The sequence below is a fragment of the Homo sapiens genome, chromosome 22 (genome assembly GCF_000001405.40).
Source record: "Homo sapiens chromosome 22, GRCh38.p14 Primary Assembly".
Taxonomy (NCBI): Eukaryota; Metazoa; Chordata; class Mammalia; order Primates; family Hominidae; genus Homo; species Homo sapiens.
The window spans coordinates 38,656,406-38,675,092 of NC_000022.11; the positions used below are offsets into that span (position 1 = coordinate 38,656,406).

The 18,687-nt window shown below is 47.6% G+C and overlaps 1 protein-coding gene across 2 annotated transcripts; it reads left to right on the top strand.

Moving 5' to 3' along the window:
• On the top strand, window positions 233-17,445 carry CBY1 (chibby 1, beta catenin antagonist). 2 transcript variants are annotated; one of them, NM_001002880.4, is made up of 6 exons: window positions 233-345; window positions 9,141-9,280; window positions 11,612-11,727; window positions 14,479-14,584; window positions 14,665-14,783; window positions 16,754-17,445. In NM_001002880.4, exons 3-6 carry the CDS (start codon window positions 11,650-11,652, stop codon window positions 16,829-16,831), a joined length of 381 nt encoding a protein of 126 aa, NP_001002880.3. In that variant the 5' UTR covers window positions 233-345; window positions 9,141-9,280; window positions 11,612-11,649; the 3' UTR covers window positions 16,832-17,445. The 2 variants fall into 2 exon arrangements, with proteins under 2 accessions (NP_001002880.3, NP_056188.1); NM_015373.4 differs by lacking the exon at window positions 9,141-9,280.

The window sequence follows — 18,687 nt, forward strand, 5'->3', positions numbered from 1 at the left end:
TTCTATGGTGACAGCCGGGCCGGGGGCCCAGACCAATGTGTCAGTGGAGAGGGTGAATGCAGGTCCTGGTCCTAGAGGCATGAAAAGGACCCCAGAAGACACTGCCTTTGTATAATCCGTTTGCTATCCCGAGGTGATTCACGGAGTTTCTGGGGATTGGCGCAGGCTGGCGCTGGGAACCCCCGCGCCGGTTACCCCTTTCCTCGGTGGTAGAGGCCGGGCGGGGCAGCGCATGCGCGTGGCGGGCAGGCGGCAGGAGGCGGGTGGGTCAAGGTAACTCTGGGCTACAGAGTCCTTGCTGGGGGTTCGGGGAGCGCTTGGACCCCGGCTTCTGGGACGCGTCAGGTACGTCTCCGAGTCCGGCGTCGCCGGCCAGCGCTGCCTGGGTTCACTCGGGGGCCCGAGCTGAGTAGGACGTCCGGGCCTCGCCTGGAGAGAGGCTTCAGGAGGGCCTGGGGAAGGGGACGGAGGCCGGGCGACCCCGGGCGGTGGCCGCCCTCCTCTGTGTGTCTCCGCGGTTGTGAATTGGGGCGGTAATTCCTCCCCGTAGGTCGCCGTGAAGATGATTGCATGAGATCGTGCGTGTGAACGTTTGTTGACAGCTGTTACTTGAGTCCGACAGCCCTGGGGGCCGTGCATCTGCGTAACATGGCTACCTCTGAACTCCTTGGGGGACACGTATATCTTTGAGAATCCGATGAAAACCAGAGATTCCGCCCTTGTTTTCTTAGAATTAAAGTAAGATAATATATTTTATGGCCTGTTGCAAACGGAAAACCTTTACACAATGATTAGTGATTAGTATCAGTATCTGTGGACTGGGAAGGCTCTACTTACTCGATCCTCTTCCCAGGGTCGTTGTGAGGATCAAGTGCACAGCTTCCTATAAACACTAAAACACTATAACATCTTGTGAGCCAGGTACTATTATTATTCCTCAGTGCAAAGAAAGAAGCCGAAGTCCAAGGGGGATAAATGCTGGGGTCCCACTGTGGGTGAGCCGCAGAGTGATCATTGGAAGCCAGGTGCTCCCCCTTCACTTCCTGTGTGCGGAGCACGCTCGCCCTGGGAGTTTCACTAGAAAGAAGGTTGCCATGGGCCAGTGGGACAGCTTGTATCTCAAGTGCACGCGGATGCCCCAGAATCCCAGGATCTCAGCTGAGCTGTTTGTGGATTATTAGATCTGACTTAAAAGGTAGCTAATCCAGACCCTTCCTCATCTGTAATACATGGATGACAGCTCCCAGCTGTAGTGTTATGAGAATTAGTGCGGTCATGAGTAAGGTGCCCAGTTAAAGCCCGAGAAGTAAAGCAGCTGGGCCAAGGTCTAGCAGGCAACTGAAGGGGAGAGCCAGGCCCCTAAACTTGTTGTGTCCAGCCCATGTGCTCAGGCCCAGTGCAGTTAGCATCAGTGGGGACTTGACTTATTTCTCCTTCTTCAAATGTCTCTAGATTTTAGGCATGCTGGGGGCTGCTTCTTAACTGTGTTTTGTTTATTTTGTTCATAAGTAATACATGAATATATTCTCATTGTAATAATTCATTAAATCTCGAGTATATTTAATATAATTTTATATTGTACCATATGAAATTGTCACAATTTGACCTTTTTTTAACCTATAAAATGACAAGTTCATTCAAGTCAGTCATCCTATTCCCTTTTTCAGGTTTAACCACTATGAACAGTTTGGTGTATCCTTCCAGATCTCTTTCTTTCTTTTCTATTTTTTTTTTCTTTGAGATGGGGTCTTGTTCTGTCACCCAGGCTAGAAAGCAGTGGTGCAATTTCAGCTCACTGCAACCTCTGCCTCCTGGGTTCAAGCAATTATCCTGCCTCAGCCTCCTGAGTATCTGGGACAACTGGCGCACACCACCACACCCGACTAATTTTTGTATTTTTAGTAGAAACAGGGTTTCACCATGTTGGCCAGGATAGTCTCGATCTCTTGACCTCGTGATCTGCCCAACTCGGCCTCCCAAAGTGCTGGGATTACAGGCATAAGCCACCGTACCTGGCCTCTTTCTTTTTTTTAATACACACATATATTACTTTATTTTATTTTATTTTTTTTTGAGATGGAGTCTGACTCTGTTGCCCAGGCTGGAGTGCAGTGGTGCGATCTCGGCTCACTGCAAGCTCTGCCTCCTGGGTTCACACCATTGTCCTGCCTCAGCCTTCTGAGTAGCTGGGACTACGAATAGATGGGACTACAGGCTCCTGCCACCATGCCAGGCTAATTTTTTGTATTTTTAGTAGAGACGGGGTTTCACTGTGTTAGCCAGAGTGGTCTCCATCTCCTGACCTCGTGATCCGCCCGCCTCGGCCTCCCAAAGTGCTGGGATGACAGGCGTGAGCCACCACGCCCGGCCTATTCTTTTATTTTCACTTTGTCTTATCATATGGGGGAAATACCATACACATCATTCTGCAACCTGCTTTCGCAGTGTTAAAGCATGTCAGAAGTCTTTCAGGTTAGTTCATATACAGCTATCTCACTGTCTTTAATTGCTATTTACAATTTTATTTTTATTTTTATTTTTATTTTTTGAGATATAGTCTCACTTTGTTGTCCAGGCTGGAGTGCAGTGGCGCAATTTCTGCTCACTGCAACCTCTGCCTCCTGGGTTCAAGCAATTCGCATGCCTCAGCCTCCTGAGTAGCTGAGATTACAGGCGCACGCCAACATACTGGGCTAATTTTTGTATTTTTAGTAGAAATGCGGTTTTGCCATGTTGGCCAGGCTGGTCTCGAACTCCTGGCGTCAAGTGATCTGCCTGCCTTGGCCTCCCAAAGTGCTGGGATTACAGGTGTGAGCCACTGTACCTGGCCTACAATTGGTTTTTTTTGTTTGTTTGTTTTTTGTTTTTTTTTGAGACAGAGTCTTGCTCCGTCGCCCAGGCTAGAATACAGTGGCACAATCTCAGCTCACTGCAACCTCTGCCTGCTGGGTTCAAGCCTCAGCCTTCTGAGTAGCTGGGATTACAGGCGTGTGCCACCACACCTGGCTAATTTTTGTATTTTTTAGTAGTGACAGGGTTTCATCATGTTGGCCAGGCTGGTCTCAAACTCCTGACCTCAAGTGATCCACCTGCCTCAGCCTCCGAAAGTGCTGAGATTATAGGCATGAGCCACCGTGCCCGGCTTAGGCCCACAATTTTATTATAAGAATGTGCTGGCCGGGCACGGTGGCTCACACCTGTCGTCCCAGCACTTTGGGAGGCCAAGGCGGGCAGATCACAAGGTCAGGAGATCGAGACCATCCTGGCTAACACGGTGAAACCCCATCTCTACTAAAAATACAAAAAATTGCCCAGGTGTGGTGGCAGGCGCCTGTAGTCCCAGCTACTCGGGAGGCTGAGGCGGGAGAATGGTGTGAACCTGGGAGGCGGAGCTTGCAGTGAGCCGACATCGCACCACTGCACTCCAGCCCGGGCGACAGAGTGAGACTCTGTCTCAAAAAAAAAAAAAAAAAAAAAGAATGTGCCACAAATTATTTGGCTACACCCAAATTGTTTGGATTGTTTCTTATTTTTTACTGTTATCAACAATAGAGAACATTGGGTGTGAGCATGTCCAAGTCTTTCTGGAGTGTAAAATTTTAGAAGTAGAGTTGCTGTCCAAAAAGTGTACACATTGACAATTTTGCCAAGTTTTGAGTGCCCTTGAAAGAATTATAGCATCTTCTGATTCCACCAGTAATAACAGTGTCTTTTTCTTCACATCCTCATCAACCATGGGTATTATTCATCTTTTTAATTTTTGCCAATATGATGAGTGAAAATGCATTTTTTTAACTTTTTTTTTTTGAGATGGAGTGTTGCTCTGTCACCCAGGCTGGAGTGCAGTGGCGTGATCTTGGCTCACTGCAACCTCTGCCTCCCAGGTTCAAGTGATTCTCCTGTCTCAGCCCCCCGAGTAGCTGGGATTACAGGCTCATGCCACCGCGCCTGGCTAATTTTTGTGTTTTTAGTAGAGACGGGGTTTCACTGTGTTGGCCAGGCTGGTCCTGAACTCCTGACCTCAAGTGATCCACCTGCCTCGGCCTCCCAAAGTGCTGGGATTACAGGCATGAGCCACCACACCAGGCCGAAAATGCATCTTTTAATGATGTGCCTCACATGTTACTAATACAAGGATAAGTATATACATGTGTATATAGACACACACACACCATATGTATATACACGTATACCATATATGTGTGTGTACAGGTACATACACACACACACACACACACACGCAGACGCATATACACCTTCAGCCAACTGATCATGGCTATGCACCTTGGGAAAATTGGGAAACTACCCCAAACCCTAGCATTTTCATCTTTATTTATTTATTTATTTTTGAGACGGAGTTTCACTCTTGTTGCCCAGGCTGGAGCGCAATGACACGATCTCCCTCACCGCAGCCTCCACCTCCTGGGTTCAAGCGATTCTCCTGCCTCAGTCTCCAGAACTTTATTCATGGATATTCCTATTTTATTTTTGTTCTGTCCTTTACATAAGATTACAGACATAAGATTAATGCTTTTCCCTCTTCTAACCTCTTTCTCTTCTCCAGCAGAAACAGTGCCAGGGCCTTACAATGTGTTTTGGATGGTGACATAGCATCAACCCCCCTCTGCATCTTGGTCCCCACCCCGTCCCCTCCACTACCAAGCTGGAAGCACTCTGGTTTGTCCAAGTTCTAAAGTGCTGTGCCCAGGCCCAAATGCCATCCCCTAAGTTGCTGGTCTATGATTCTTTTTATTTTTATGATTTTATTTTAGTTTATTTTATTTTTGAGACAGAGTCTCGTTCTGTCACCCAGGCTGGAGCGCAGTGGTGTGTTCTCGGCTCACCGCAACCTCCGCCTCCCAGGTTCAAGCGTTTCTTGTGCCTCAGCCTCCCAGGCAGTTGGGATTACAGGTGAGCACCACCACTCCCGGCTAATTTTTGTACATTTTTAGTAGAGACAGGGTTTCACCATGTTGGCCAGACTGGTCTCGAACTTCTGACCTCAGGTGATCCACCTGCCTTGGCCTCCCAAAGTGCTGGGATTACAGGCGTGAGCCACTGTATGATTGTTTTTAATTCAAACACGTAACTACCAGGAAAGCTGTCATGAGCACATAACCCCAAATACCTTCATTTATTTATAAATTACATATACATATACTTATGTATTGTATGTTTTACATACATTCCAAAGAAGCTTCTTAACTTTTATCATTAATTTTAGTGAGATCAATTTCTCCCTTAATGAAAACAGCCTGGAAGTTTTTTTTCCTGTTCTCATTGGATACATATCTTGCTGATTGTGATGGATTCATACTTTGAATTCTCTTTTAATGATAATGGATATAAAACCTTGTTTCAAATAGTCTTGAAAAGATACCAACCCCTCCTCCTGCCTTTTTTGGCCCATTTCTTGTCAGATCCAGTTAACCCGTTACTGCTTTTATTTCATAATGTAGTGAAGGAAGACCTTACGCCCAGGAGGAGCAGTGAGAGGTCGGCTGTTTTCTTTTTGCTCACTTGTGCCGTCATTGTTGTTCTCTTCAGTCTATGGCTTCTTAGAAGGATTCTTTGTAAGCTGTGTGCGTGATATAAATTAAAATTGAATAATATAGGCCAGGCGTGGTGGCTCAGGCCTGTAATCCCAGCACTTTGAGAGGCCAAGTTGGGCCAGTCGCTTGAGCTCAGGAGTTCGTGACCAGCCTGGGCAACATGGCGAAACCCCGTCTCTACAAAAGACACAAAAATTAGCTGGGCCTAGTGGCGCGTGCCTGTGATCTCAGCTACTTGGGAAGCTGAGGTGGGAGAATCGCTTGAACCTGGGAGGTTGAGGCTGCAGTGAGCCGAGATCACGCCACTGCACTCTAGCCTGGGCAACAGAATGAGACTCTGTCTCAAAAAAAAAAATAAATAAATAAATAAAATAAAAAATTGGGTGATATATGGGGAAAAAAAGAACACTAACCCCTGTTTTACATCATATACAAATATTAATTCAAGATGAATTATAGTCACAAATGTGAAATGCAAACAATAATATTACCAGAAGTTAACAGAAAATATCATCATGACCTTGGGGTAGGCAATTTTTTTTGGGGGGCGGGGGACAGGATCTCACTCTGTCACCCAAGCTGGAGTGCAGTGTCATAATCTCAGCTCACTGCAACCTCTGGCTCCTGGGCGCAAGCAATCCTCCCACCTCTGCCTCCTGAATAGCTGGGACCACAGGCGTACACCACCATGCCCAGCTAATTTTTTGTATCTTTGGTAGAGACAGGGTTTTGTTTGCCATGTTGCCCAGGATGGTCTTGAACTCCTGGACTCAAGTTATTTGCCTGCCTCTGCCTCCCAAAGTGCTAGGATTTATAGGCATGAGGCACCATACCCAGCCTGGGGTAGGCAAACATTTTAAAAATACAATACAAGCACTAATCATTAAGAAATAATAATAAATTGGGCTGGGTGCAGTGGCTTATGCCTGTAATCCCAGCACTTTGGGAGGTCAGGAATTCAAGACCAGCCTGGCCAACATGGCGAAACACCATCTCTGCTAAAAGTACAAACATTAGTTGGGTGTGGTGGCAGGCGCCTGTAATCCCAGCTACTCAGGAGGCTGAGGCAGGAGAATTGCTTGAACCCAGGAAGCAGAGGTTGCAGTCAGCTGAGATCACATCACTGCCCTCCAGCCTGGGCGACAGAGTAAGACTTGATCTCAAAATAAATAAATAAATAAATAAATAATTGGATTTCATTATAATTAAGAACTTCTGGCTGGGAGCTGTGGCTCACACCTGTAATCTCAGCACTTTGGGAGGCCGAGGCAGGTGGATCACGAGGTCAAGAGATTGAGACCATCCTGGCCAACATGGTGAAACCCCGTCTCTACTAAAAATACACAAATTAGCTGGATGTGGTGGTGCGTGCCTATAGTCCTAGCTACCTGGGAGGCTGAAGCAGGAGAATCGCTTGAACCCGGGAGGCGGAGGTTGCATTAAGAAAGCAAAAAGAGGCCGGACGCGGTGGCCCACACCTGTAATCCCAGCACTTTGGGAGGCTGAGGTGGGTGGATCACCTGAGGTTGGGAGTTCGAGACCAGCCTGACCAACATAGAGAAACCCTGTCTCTACTAAAAATACAAAAATTAGCCGGGCGTGGTGGCGCATGCCTGTAATCTCAGCTACTTGGGAAGCTGAGGCAGGAGAATCACTTGAACCCGGGAGGTGGAGGTTGCGGTGTGCTGAGATGGCGCCATTGCACTTCAGCCTGGGCCACAAGAGCGAAACTCTGTCTCCAAAAAAAAAAAAAAAAAAGGAAAAAAAAAGAAAGCAAAAAGAGGTCGGGCGCAGTGGCTCATGACTGTAATTCCAGCACTTTAGGAGGCGGAGGTGGGTGGATCACTTGAGGTCAGGAGTTCGAGACCAGCCTGGCCAACATGGCAAAACCCCATCTCTACTAAAAACACAAAAATTAGCTGGGTTTAGTGGCAGGTGTGTGTAATCCCAGCTACTTGGGAGGTTGAGACAGGAGAATCTCTTGAACCTGGGAGGCAGAGGTTGCAGTGAGCCAAGATAGCACCACTGCACTCCAGCCTGGGTGACAGAGCGAGACTGTGTTTCAAAAAAAAAAAAGAAGGAGAAAGCAAAAAGAAAAAAGTGGGAGAAGATATTTTCAGTACTGTACATATATACAGTAGTGAAACTTGTATCCAGCGTATATAAATACCCTTACAAACCCTTACAAAATGAACATGATAGACAGCTCAATTTTAAAAAATGGCAAAAGAGGGCTGGGCGCGGTGGCTCATGCCTATAATCCTAGCACTTTGGGAGGCTGTGGCGGGCAGATTGCTTGAGGTCAGGAGTTCGAGACAAGCCTGGCCAGCATAGCGAAACCCTGTCTCTATTAAAAATACAAAAATTAGCTGGGCATGGTGGTGTGTTCCTGTAATCCCAGTTACTCGGGAGGCTGAGGCAGGAGAATCACTTGAACCTGGGAGGCAGAGGTTGCAGTGAGCTGAGATTGTGCCACTGCACTCCAGCCCGATGACAGAGGGAGACTCCATCTCAAAAAAAAAAAAAAAAAGCAAAATACATGAATAAGCATGCCACAAAAAAATCCATATATGTCCAAGGAGTATGTTAAATGATGCTCAACTTAATTAGTTATTTGGGAAAAGCAAATTAAACAATGCAACACCATTACATACCTGCCAGAATGGAAAAGATGAAAAAGAAAGTGCCAGATATTGACAAGGATCTCTTGCAAACTACAGATAGGAGTCTAAATTGGTACAATGACTTTGGAAAACCATTTGGCAGAATCTGTTAAAGCTAAATATATGAATGCTCTGTGACTCTATAGTTATACCCCTAAGTATGGAACCAGAAAAGTGTACATATGCATGTAGATATACATGCTCAAGTCTTATGTTCTTAGCAGTAGTTTTTTTTTTTCTTGAGACAGGGTCTTGCTCTGTTGCCCAGACTGAAGTGTGCAGTGGTGATCACAGCTCACTGCAGCCTCAAACTCCTGGGCTGAAGCAATCCTTCCACCTCAGCCTCCTGAGTAGCTAGGACTACAAGGGTACACCACCACGCCTGGCTGATTTTTCAATTTTTTGTAGAGATGAGGTCTCATTATGTTGCCTAGGCTGGTCTTGAACTCCTGGCATCAAGTGATCCTCCTGTCTTGGCCTCCCAAAGTGCTAGGATTACTGGCATAAGCCACCATGCCTGGCCTAGCAGCACTATTTTTGGTGGTCAAAAACTGGAAACAGGCCGGGTGTGGTGGTTCATACCTGTAATTCCAGCATTTTGGGAGGCTGAGGCAGGCAGATCACGTGAGCCCAAGAGTTCAAGACCAGACTAGGCAACATGACGAAACTCCCATCTCTATTAAAAATGCAGAAAATTAGCCAGCATGGTGGTGCGTGCCTATAGTCCCAGCTACCCATGAGGCTGAGATGGGAGGATCACCTGAGCCTGGGAGGTTGAGGCTACAGTGAACAGAGATGGTACCACTGCACTCCAACCTGGGGGACCAGAACGAGACCCTGTCTCAAGAAACACAAAACAAAACTGCAAACAGCTCAAATGTCCATCTTCTGTAGACAAGTAAATTTTGCTGTGTTTATACAATAGAATATTATCCAGCAATGCAAATGAACAAACTATAACTACACACAGCTGCATGGATAAATGTCAGAAACATGACGTTGAGTGTGAGAAGCCAGATGCAAACGAGGACTCACTGTGCAATTCTGTGCATGTACAGTGGCCAGGTGAGGCTTATGGAGTGCTGAAATGCTCTGTATCCCAATCTGGAGGGTGGTTTTAAAAAAATGTTTTGAGCCAGTGCGTTGGTTCACACCTGTAATTCCAGCACTTTGGGAGGCCAAGGTGGGCAGGTCACTTGAGGTCAGGAGTTCGAGACCAGCCTGGCCAACATGGTAAAACCCTGTCTCTACTAAAAATACAAAAATTAGCTGGGCATGGTGGCACACACCTGTAATCCCAGCTATTTACAAGGCTGAGGCACAGAGCAGGGCTCTGTCTCAAAAAAAAAAATCATAAATAAAAAATAAAATTTAAAAAATACTTGATTTTAATTTTTTTAGAGATGGGGGTCTCGCTGTGTCACTCAGGCTGGTCTTGAACTCTTGGGCTCAAGCAATCCTCTCACCTTGGCCTCCCAAAGTGCTGGGATTTCAGGTATAAACCACCACGCCTGGCCCTGGAGGGTGGTTATACTTGTGTAGTAAAAACTCATGAAACCTTACACTTATGATTTGTGGTAGACTTTTCTGTATTAATGTTATATATATATATATTTTTTTTTCTTTTTTAACCTTTTTTTGGTAGAGACGGGCCCTGCTAAGTTGCCCAGGCTGGTCTTGAACTCCTGTGCTCAAGTAATCCTCCCTCCCTGGCCTCCCAAAGTGCTAGGATTACAGGTGTGAGCCACTGCTCCCAGCCTAAATAAAAAGTTTGCTTCTCCCCTCCTTTTCTCCCCAAAAACCAGGGTGTTATCAGGAAATCTACTTAACTAGGCCTAGGTGAATTGCAATAGGTTGCATTATGCTAAAAGCAAATGTACAGGTTGGGGGGGTGTTGTTGTCAGCTCCGCCATGTCGTGGACCTGCCCCCTTTTCAGGACACCTCACGTCACCTTCCATAACAGAACAGGTAACGTGACATATGAGGTGCACTGTTGACAAGTGACACTGGTGACAAGTGAGGAGCACTGTTATCAATCTGGAAAGGAAATATAAGCATAGCTTTACTCATTTATTTATTTATTTTTTTAATTTATTTTTGAGACAGAGTCTTGCTCTGTCACCCAGGCTGGAGTGCAGTGGCGCAATCTCGGCTCACTGCAACCTCTGCCTCCTGGGTTCAAGCAATTTTCCTGCCTCAGCCTCCCAACTAGCTGGGATTACAGGCACCCGCCACTATGCCCAGCTAATTTTTTGTATTTTTAGTAGAGACAGGGTTTCACCACGTTGGCCAGGCTGGTCTCAAACTCCTGACCTCTTGATTTGCCCGCCTCGGCCTCCCAAAGTGCTGGGATTACAGATATGAGCCACCGTGCCCAGCCATTTCTTTCTTTATTTTTTTTTTTTTAGAGACAGGGTAATGCTCTTTGACTCAGGCTGGAGTGCAGTGGCATGATCATAGCTCACTGGAGGCTCAGACTCATAGGTTCAAGTGATCCTCCCACCTAAGCCTACTGAATAGCTGAGACTACAGGCACGCACCACCATACCTGGCTAATTTTTGTATTTTTTGTAGAGACAGAGTTTTGCCATGTTGGCCAGGCTGGTCTTAAACTCCTGGGCTCAAGTGATCTGCCTACCTCAGCCTCCTGAGTCACTGAGACTGTAGTTGTGTGCCACCATGCCAGGCTAACTTTTTTTTTTTGAGACATGGTCTCTCATTCTGTAGCCTAGACTGGAGAGCAGCAGTGGACCACAGCTCACTGCAGCCTCAACCTCCCTGGGCTCCAGCGACCCCCCAGCCTCAGCTTCCCAAGTAATTGGGACTACAGGCATGCGCCACTGTGTGCCACCCAAAAAATCTTAGCATACCGCGTAGCACAAAGGGAGCGTTCAGCACATGGGAGCTATTACCAGGCGTCTTAATCCATTTTGTGCTGCTGTTACAGATTACCACAGACTGGGTAATTTATAAAGAAAAGAAGTTTATTTGGCTCACAGTTCTGGAGACTGGGAAGTCCAAGAGCATGGTGCAAGTATCTGGTGAGGGTCATCCTGTGTGAGGCAGAAGGCTCACATGGTGAGCAAGTGCATGAGACAGACAGCATGGCAGCAGAACTCATCCTTTTGCCAGGAGCCCACGCCAGAGAAAACTAACCTACTCCATGACAATGGCATTAATCCATTCATGAGAGCAGAGCTCACATGGCCCAGTCACCCCTTATACTGTTAAACAATGGCAATTCAATTTCAACATGAGTTTTGGTGGGGACATTCAAACCATAGCACCAGGATCGTTAGTAGCCACATGATAAAATGTATGTCTTCAAGATTTGAAGACAATGGCATAAGGTCAGTGATCCAGCTGCTTGTACCCCTGACTTTTTCTGACCCTAGGAGAAGGGAGCACTGGCTTTGCTTTCATCAGGCCAAAGATGCCTTTCTTTGGGAATACGTTCAGTCCGAAGAAGACACCTCCTCGGAAGTCGGCATCTCTCTCCAACCTGCATTCTGTGAGTGTCGGTACTGGGGTCGGCCGGGTGTGCAGCATGAGTTGAGTGCTGAGCGTGTCTCTGAATGGAAAGTGTGGTCCTCCAGAGGCATCAGTGCAGGAGGGCATCCTTTCCGTCCATATCATTGCTATTGCGGAAAACATTTTTGAACTCTTGTTTGGGAATGATCGTCAGAGCTTGTTTATCCAAGAACCTAAGAAGACAATCTCATTATGATATTTGACCCCAAATATCCAAATTTTTTTTTTCTTTTTTGAGATGGAGTCTCACTCCCGTCCCACAGGCTAGGGTGCAGTGGCGCGATCTTGACTCACTGCAACCTCCACCTCCCGGGTTCAAGCGATTCTCCTTCCTCAGCCTCCTGAGTAGCTGGGATTACAACTGCCCGCCACCATGCCCGGCTAATTTTTGTACTTTTAGTAGAGACAGGGTTTCACCATGTTGGCCAGGCTGGTCTCGAACTGCTGATCTCAGGTGATCCACCCGCCTTGGCCTCCCCAAGTGCTAGGATTACAGGTGTGAGCCACTGTGCCCAGCCAGTATCATCCAATTTGACTTCTACTTTATTCTGTGACCTTTTCCTACAGAGCTAGCTATGCAGACTGGCCATGTCTTCACAGAAGGCGAGTGGGGTTGAACAACAAGGCTGTGGGGGCTGAGCATTCACTACAGGTTTCAGGTCTTAAGAGTCTGTTGTCTCCTGTTCCCAGTGAAAATCATGGTGGGGGCAGCCCCACTGTGGCCAGAGCTGGGCATTCTGTGGAGCAGGCCAGGCAGAGGCTTAGGATCTCAGTTTCTGGTGCCCCTAGGCCTGAGGCTCCCTTTCCTCTCTGCCATGTGTGAGAGATGCAGATACACCTGGCGGTCCCTCTAGGACATCCTCTGTCCTAATCCCACACAGCGTAAGAGCAGCAGTGTGCTTACATGACGTCTGTCTCTGACCGTGACTTGAAGTCGGTCCTCCCCTACATTGTTTTCCACATGCTGACAGGTACTTGTAAGCCTTGGTACTTGTAAGGCCTCCACAGCGCTCCATATGGTCACTGGTGGATTTTATTAGTTCCCCGTTATTACAGGATAACCACCCAGATCTTGGGAGCAGCACAAATGACCCTTGGTGGCCTCACTCCAGCTCTCCTTCCTGCCCTTGCCCTCTGCACACCCTGTGCTGCAGCCGCCCAAGCCCCGTGTGAACCTCCTCTGCGCACGCTACTCCTTCTGCCTAGAATGTTTAATTCTAGAATCTAGAATAGATTAATTAAAGAGCTATTGATTGATACCTTTCTATGTGCCAGGCACTCTCCTAAGCACTGGGCATGCAGAAGTGGATGAAGGAGGGGAGAGAAAAACATCAAATCCCTGCTTTCATGGGGCAGATACTTTAACGGAAGGCTACAGAAAATAAGCAAATTTATATCAGATGGTGATATGTGCCAGACAGCAAAACAAAGCATAGGCCTGGGATGGGGTGTGGCTGAGCACTGGGGACTGAGCTTTCATTTTCAACAGGGTGGTCAGGAAGGCCTAACTGAGAAAGGGACATTTGAGCACTTACCTGAAGGTCTCCCTGTGTTGAGCCGCTATTGAGGGCAGAGCTGGTCATACGCATCCCTGGATACCCAGTACCGAGTCCCGAATCGGGGTGGGTGCTCAGTGAGTTGTAGAAATGAATATCTAGGCCAGGCGCAGTGGCTCATGCCTGTAATCCCAGCACTTTAGGAGGCTGAGGTGGGCGCATCACTTGAGGTCAGGAGTTTGAGACCAGCCTGGCCAATGTGGCGAAACTCTGACTCTACTTTAAAAAATACAAAAATTAGGCCGGGCACGGTGGCTCACGTCTATAATCCCAGCACTTTGGGAGGCTGAGGTGGGCGGATCACAAGGTCAGGAGTTCGAGACCAGCCTGGCCAATATGGTGAAACCCTGTCTCTACTAAAAAATACAAAAATTAGCCAGGTGTGGTGGCGTGCGCCTGTAGTCCCAGCTACTCGGGAAGCTGAGGCAGAAGAGTTGCTTGAACCTGGGAGGCAGAGGTTGCAGTGAGCCAAGATTGTGCCACTGCACTCCAGCCTAGGCGAAAGAGTGAGACTCCGTCTCAAAAAAAACCCCAAAAATTAGCCGGGTATGGTGGTGCATGCCTGTAGTCCCAGCTATTCAGAGGCCGAGATGGGAGGATCACTTGAACCCGGGAGGCGGAGGCTGCAGTGAACTGAGATCGCACCACTGTACTCCAGCCTTGGTGAAAGAGCGAAACTCCGTCTCAAAAAAAAAAAAAAAGAAAAGAAAAGAATAGAATATGTAAATTGTACTGTCGCACGTTAAGAAGCAACTCCTCTTCCTCCTAATTGTTAGAATTTTATGTCTTTTCCACAACATATGTAGCTCCATATTAAGCAAATGATAACTTGGGGGACTATTACATTTAAAAAGAATTTTTCACTTGATTAACAGTTTATAGTAGGATTGCTTAAACTATTAAGTGTCAAGTAGGTATAAAATAATTCAATTTATAAATTTCAGTATATATAGCTTTTCTGGAAAACATCTAATGTATAAAACAGTATATTTTTTATCTCACAATTAAACTTTTCCTGTACATCATTTGATTTTATGGCTTTAAAAAAATCATTAAAGGTGCCAAGTAATGATTAGAGAAATGAGTTGTTGGGGTCATATTGTTGGCGGAAGAGGAGCTGGGATGAAGGCGTGTTCCGGGCCTGCTGAAGTTGTCACATAGCATCTCGCCCACAGTTGGATCGATCAACCCGGGAGGTGGAGCTGGGCTTGGAATACGGATCCCCGACTATGAACCTGGCAGGGCAAAGCCTGAAGTTTGAAAATGGCCAGTGGATAGCAGGTGAGCTGCACTTCCTGCCATTTTGTCAAACAAGATTGTAGGAGGAAATCCCCCTTTAACTGGTTCTGTCCTTCCTCCAGAGACAGGGGTTAGTGGCGGTGTGGACCGGAGGGAGGTTCAGCGCCTTCGCAGGCGGAACCAGCAGTTGGAGGAAGAGAACAATCTCTTGCGGCTGAAAGTGGACATCTTATTAGACATGGTGAGGCAGGTGATGGGGAAGAGAGGCCTAGCTTCTCCTTTTGGGGAGGCTCCACCTCGAGTCACTTAATCCAACAGATATCTCCTCAATGCCAGTTTGGCCAGGTACGTTGCTTTGCATCCAAAGCCACACGCAAGGAACAAGACACAGTTCCTGCCCTCACAGTGTAGAGGCAGGTGGACCGACCGTAAGCATAATTACATAAGGACCCAGTTGGAGTCTGCACAGGATCTGCACAGCACACGAGGGAGAAGTTATTTCTGTCAAGTCGGGAGAGCTTCCCAGAGGAAGGGATATCTGAGCTGAATGTGGAAGGATAATGGCAGGAATAGAGGTTAGATGAAGGCATTCCAGGAAGAGGGGTAGAGCCGGCTCATGGCTTGGAAGTGTCTCATACCAAGTAGGCATTAATCAGTGCCCAGTACAGACCAGCTGAGGGGCTCACACTGCATTAGTGTTGGTTTCTTGTGGCTGTTAAAAATCCAGCAACCCACTGGGCCTAGAGGAGCCTGTGAAGGTTCAGAGGCAGGAGAGCATACACTGTAGTGGTTAAGAGCACACACTCCAGAGCAAAATGGCCTGGGTTCCTCACCCAGCTCTGCTACTGACTAACTGCTCTGTAACTTAATTTCTTCAGCAATAAATGGCATAATAGCTAATTGTGGTGGTGCACCCCTGTAGTCCCAGCTACTTGGGAGGCTAAGACAGGAGGATGGCTTAACCTCAGGAGTTTGAGAGCAGCCTTGGCTGCAAAGTAAGATGCCATCTTTTTTTTTTTTTTAAAAAAGGACTAGGCTGGGCATGATGGCTCATGCCTGTAATCTTAGCATTTTGGGAGGCCAAGGTGGACGGGTCACAAGGTCAGGAGTTCGAGACCAGCCTGACCAACATGGTGAAACCTTGTCTCTACTAAAAATACAAAAATTAGCTGGGTGTGATGGCATGCGCCTATAATCCCAGCTACTCAGGAGGCTGAGGCAGGAGAATTGCTTGAACCCGGGAGGTGGAGGTTGCAGTGGGCTGAGATCGCGCCACTGTACTCTAGCCTGGGCAACAGAGTGAGACCCCATCTTGGAAAAAAAAAAAAGAAAAAGACTGACATTTTAGGCTGGATGTTTTTTTATTTTTATTTTTATTTATTTATTTATTTTAGACAGAGTCTCGCTCTGTAGCCTGGGCTGGAGTACAGTGGCATGATCTCCACCCACTGCCCCACTGCAACCTCTGCCTCCCGGGTTCAAGTGATTCTCCTGCATCAGCCTCCTGATTAGCACCCGCCACCACGCTTGGCTAATTTTTGCATTTTTAGTAGAGATGGGGTTTCACCATGTTGGCCAGGCTGGTCTCCAACGCCTGACCTCAAGTGATCTCCCTGTCTTGGCCTCCCAAAGTGCTGAGATTACAGGCATGAGCCACCACGCCCGGCCTGGATGTTTTTTTTTAAAAATGAGCATAATCGTAGTATCTACCTCATAGTGAGTTAGTACAAGAAAAGCACCCAGCCTGGCCGACAGAGCGAGACCGTGTCTCAGAAAACAAACAAACCAAAAAACAAAAACAAAAAAACCCTAAGGAGGAAAGTGGCATTCTATTTCTAGCATTTTTTCCCCTCATCCCCATTATGGGAGCTACAGCTTAGAATCAATTTCAGCTCTAATCCCTTAGCCTTACAATCACCAGTATCTGCCTTTGACGTCCTCTGAGACCTGCTCTCCTTCGTGCAGGGAGTGCCATGCCCTCGTGGGTGACAGCGTGCTGACAGAGTGGACTGTGAATATTCTTCAAGTACTTGTGGTCCTGGGTCATCAGGGGTTGCATTCTACCCAGTTACAGAGGGTTTCCCATCGAGGAAGCCAGCAGCATCAGAGAAGTGGCAGGGGGCCTTTCCTCCGTGTGTAGGGCCGGCCTTGCTAACCCGAAACATTTCCTAGAAATGTGCTGCTTGCTAACAGCCGCTGCTTCACTTTCAGCTTTCAGAGTCCACTGCTGAATCCCACTTAATGGAGAAGGAACTGGATGAACTGAGGATCAGCCGGAAGAGAAAATGAAGACCCCAGAGACATTTATTGGGGAGTAGGATGTGGCTGAGTGCTTTTTTTTTGGCCAGACTAGCGGATTCAGTCCTGGAAGAGAGTATCATATAATGAGACCCACAGGCACTGGCACCCTTGGGTTGGCAATAGAAGGTGACATGGAATGGAGAAAACCAAGATTCCAGATGGGGATAGTAACTAGAAGGTGCTTCAGATGCACTGCCTGCGGGTGCCAGTCTGAAAACCAGACCGCACAGAGGCCTGGGGCTGCTGATGAGCTTTTTGGTGCTCTCCACACACAAGCTCGCAAACACACATGTCCCAGAATAGCTCTGTTGGGTTGTGTTGGGAGAAGCGGCTGGAGTTCATTCTCTCACCCCCTTATGTTGGTGTTTGGCGTGTGACAGCAGTTCTACAGAGCTCTGTGTTGGGGTCATGGATGAGCGGCTCTCTTGGCTCTTAAAGGCAGGCCTCTCTCTTCTTGCCTTTAAAGAATCCTCCTTCCTCACACCTGGCCTCCTCTGGCTTCAGCTTCTCAGCAGCAAGCACCAGCCTTCCACAACAACACTATATTTTTATGCTACTTTCCTGTTTGCACTACTACTTTTTTATTAAACGATGTTAAATAATCTCTCTGTGACCAAAGTGACTAAAAAGAGAACCATGAGTTTCTCAAGAAGTAAATGGAGCTGGCCAGGCATGGTGGCTCACACCTGTAATCCCAGCACTTTGGGAGGCTGAGGTGGGCAGATCACCTGAGGTCAGGAGTTCGAGACCAGCCTGGCCAATAGAGTGAAACCTCGTCTCTACTAAAAATACAAAAATTAGCCAGGCGTGGTGGTGGGCACCTGTAGTCCCAGCTACTTGAGAGGCTGAGACAGGAGAATCGCTTGAACCCAGGAGGCAGAAGTTGCAGTGAGCCGAGATCATACCATTGTACTCCAGCCTGGGCGACAAGAGCGAGACTCCGTCTCCAAAAAAAAAGAATTAAATGGAGCCTGGCCAGGTGTGGTGGCACACACCTGTAATCCTAGCACTAGCACTTTGGGAGGCTGAGGCGGGCTGATTGCTTTAGCTCAGGAGTTCAAGACCAGCCTGGCAATAGCGAAACAAAATACAAAAAAAAAAAAAATTAGCTGGGCGTGGTGGTGCACACCTGTAGTCCCAGTCTCTCAGGAGGCTGAGATGGGAGGATCACTTTGAGCCCAGGGAGGTTGAGGCTGCAGTGAGCTGTGATTGCTCCACTGCACCCCAGTCTGGGTGACAGAGTAAGACCCTGTCTCAAAAAAAAAAAAAAAAAAAAAGTAACTGGAGCCTGGAGTCTAAGCCTCTGTTGTTCCATCAAAAGACAGAATTGGCCGGACGTGGTGGTTCACGCCTGTAATCCCAGCACGTTGGGAGGCTGAGGTGGGTGGATCGTCTGAGGTCAGGAGTTTGAGACCAGCCTGGCCAACATGGCAAAACCCCGTCTCTACTAAAAATACAAAAGAAAATTAGCTGGGTGTGGTAACACATGCCTGTAGTCCCAGCTACTTGGGAGGCTGAGGCAGGAGAATCACTTGAACCCGGGAGGCGGCCACTGCACTCCAGCCTGGGCGACAGAGCAAGACTCTGTCTCAAAAAAAAAAAAAAAAAAAAAAAGAATGTTTAGTGTGTGGGGAACTGTCACTCTTGTAGGAGAGCATTCCAGCTTTCCTGGGCATTGGCAGAGGCTGATGCCAAACAGAAACAGTCTCTCTGCTCAAAATTCGCCTGCCCTCCTGCTTCATGGTGTTGGGACTGGCCAGGACCTGGCAGGAACCTAATGGTTGGTGTGAGAATTTGTGCCGTAGGCAGTATGAGCTGGACTTTTCTGGCAAGAGGAGGGAATC

Bases quoted from the DNA above. Each gene is read 5' to 3' on its own strand.
- CBY1 (NM_001002880.4), top strand. From the start codon at position 11,650: ATGCCTTTCTTTGGGAATACGTTCAGTCCGAAGAAGACACCTCCTCGG. The intron at 11,728-14,478 runs GTGAGTGTCGGT...TCTCGCCCACAG, and splicing joins CTCTCTCCAACCTGCATTCT to TTGGATCGATCAACCCGGGA. The intron at 14,784-16,753 runs GTGAGGCAGGTG...CTTCACTTTCAG, and splicing joins TGGACATCTTATTAGACATG to CTTTCAGAGTCCACTGCTGA.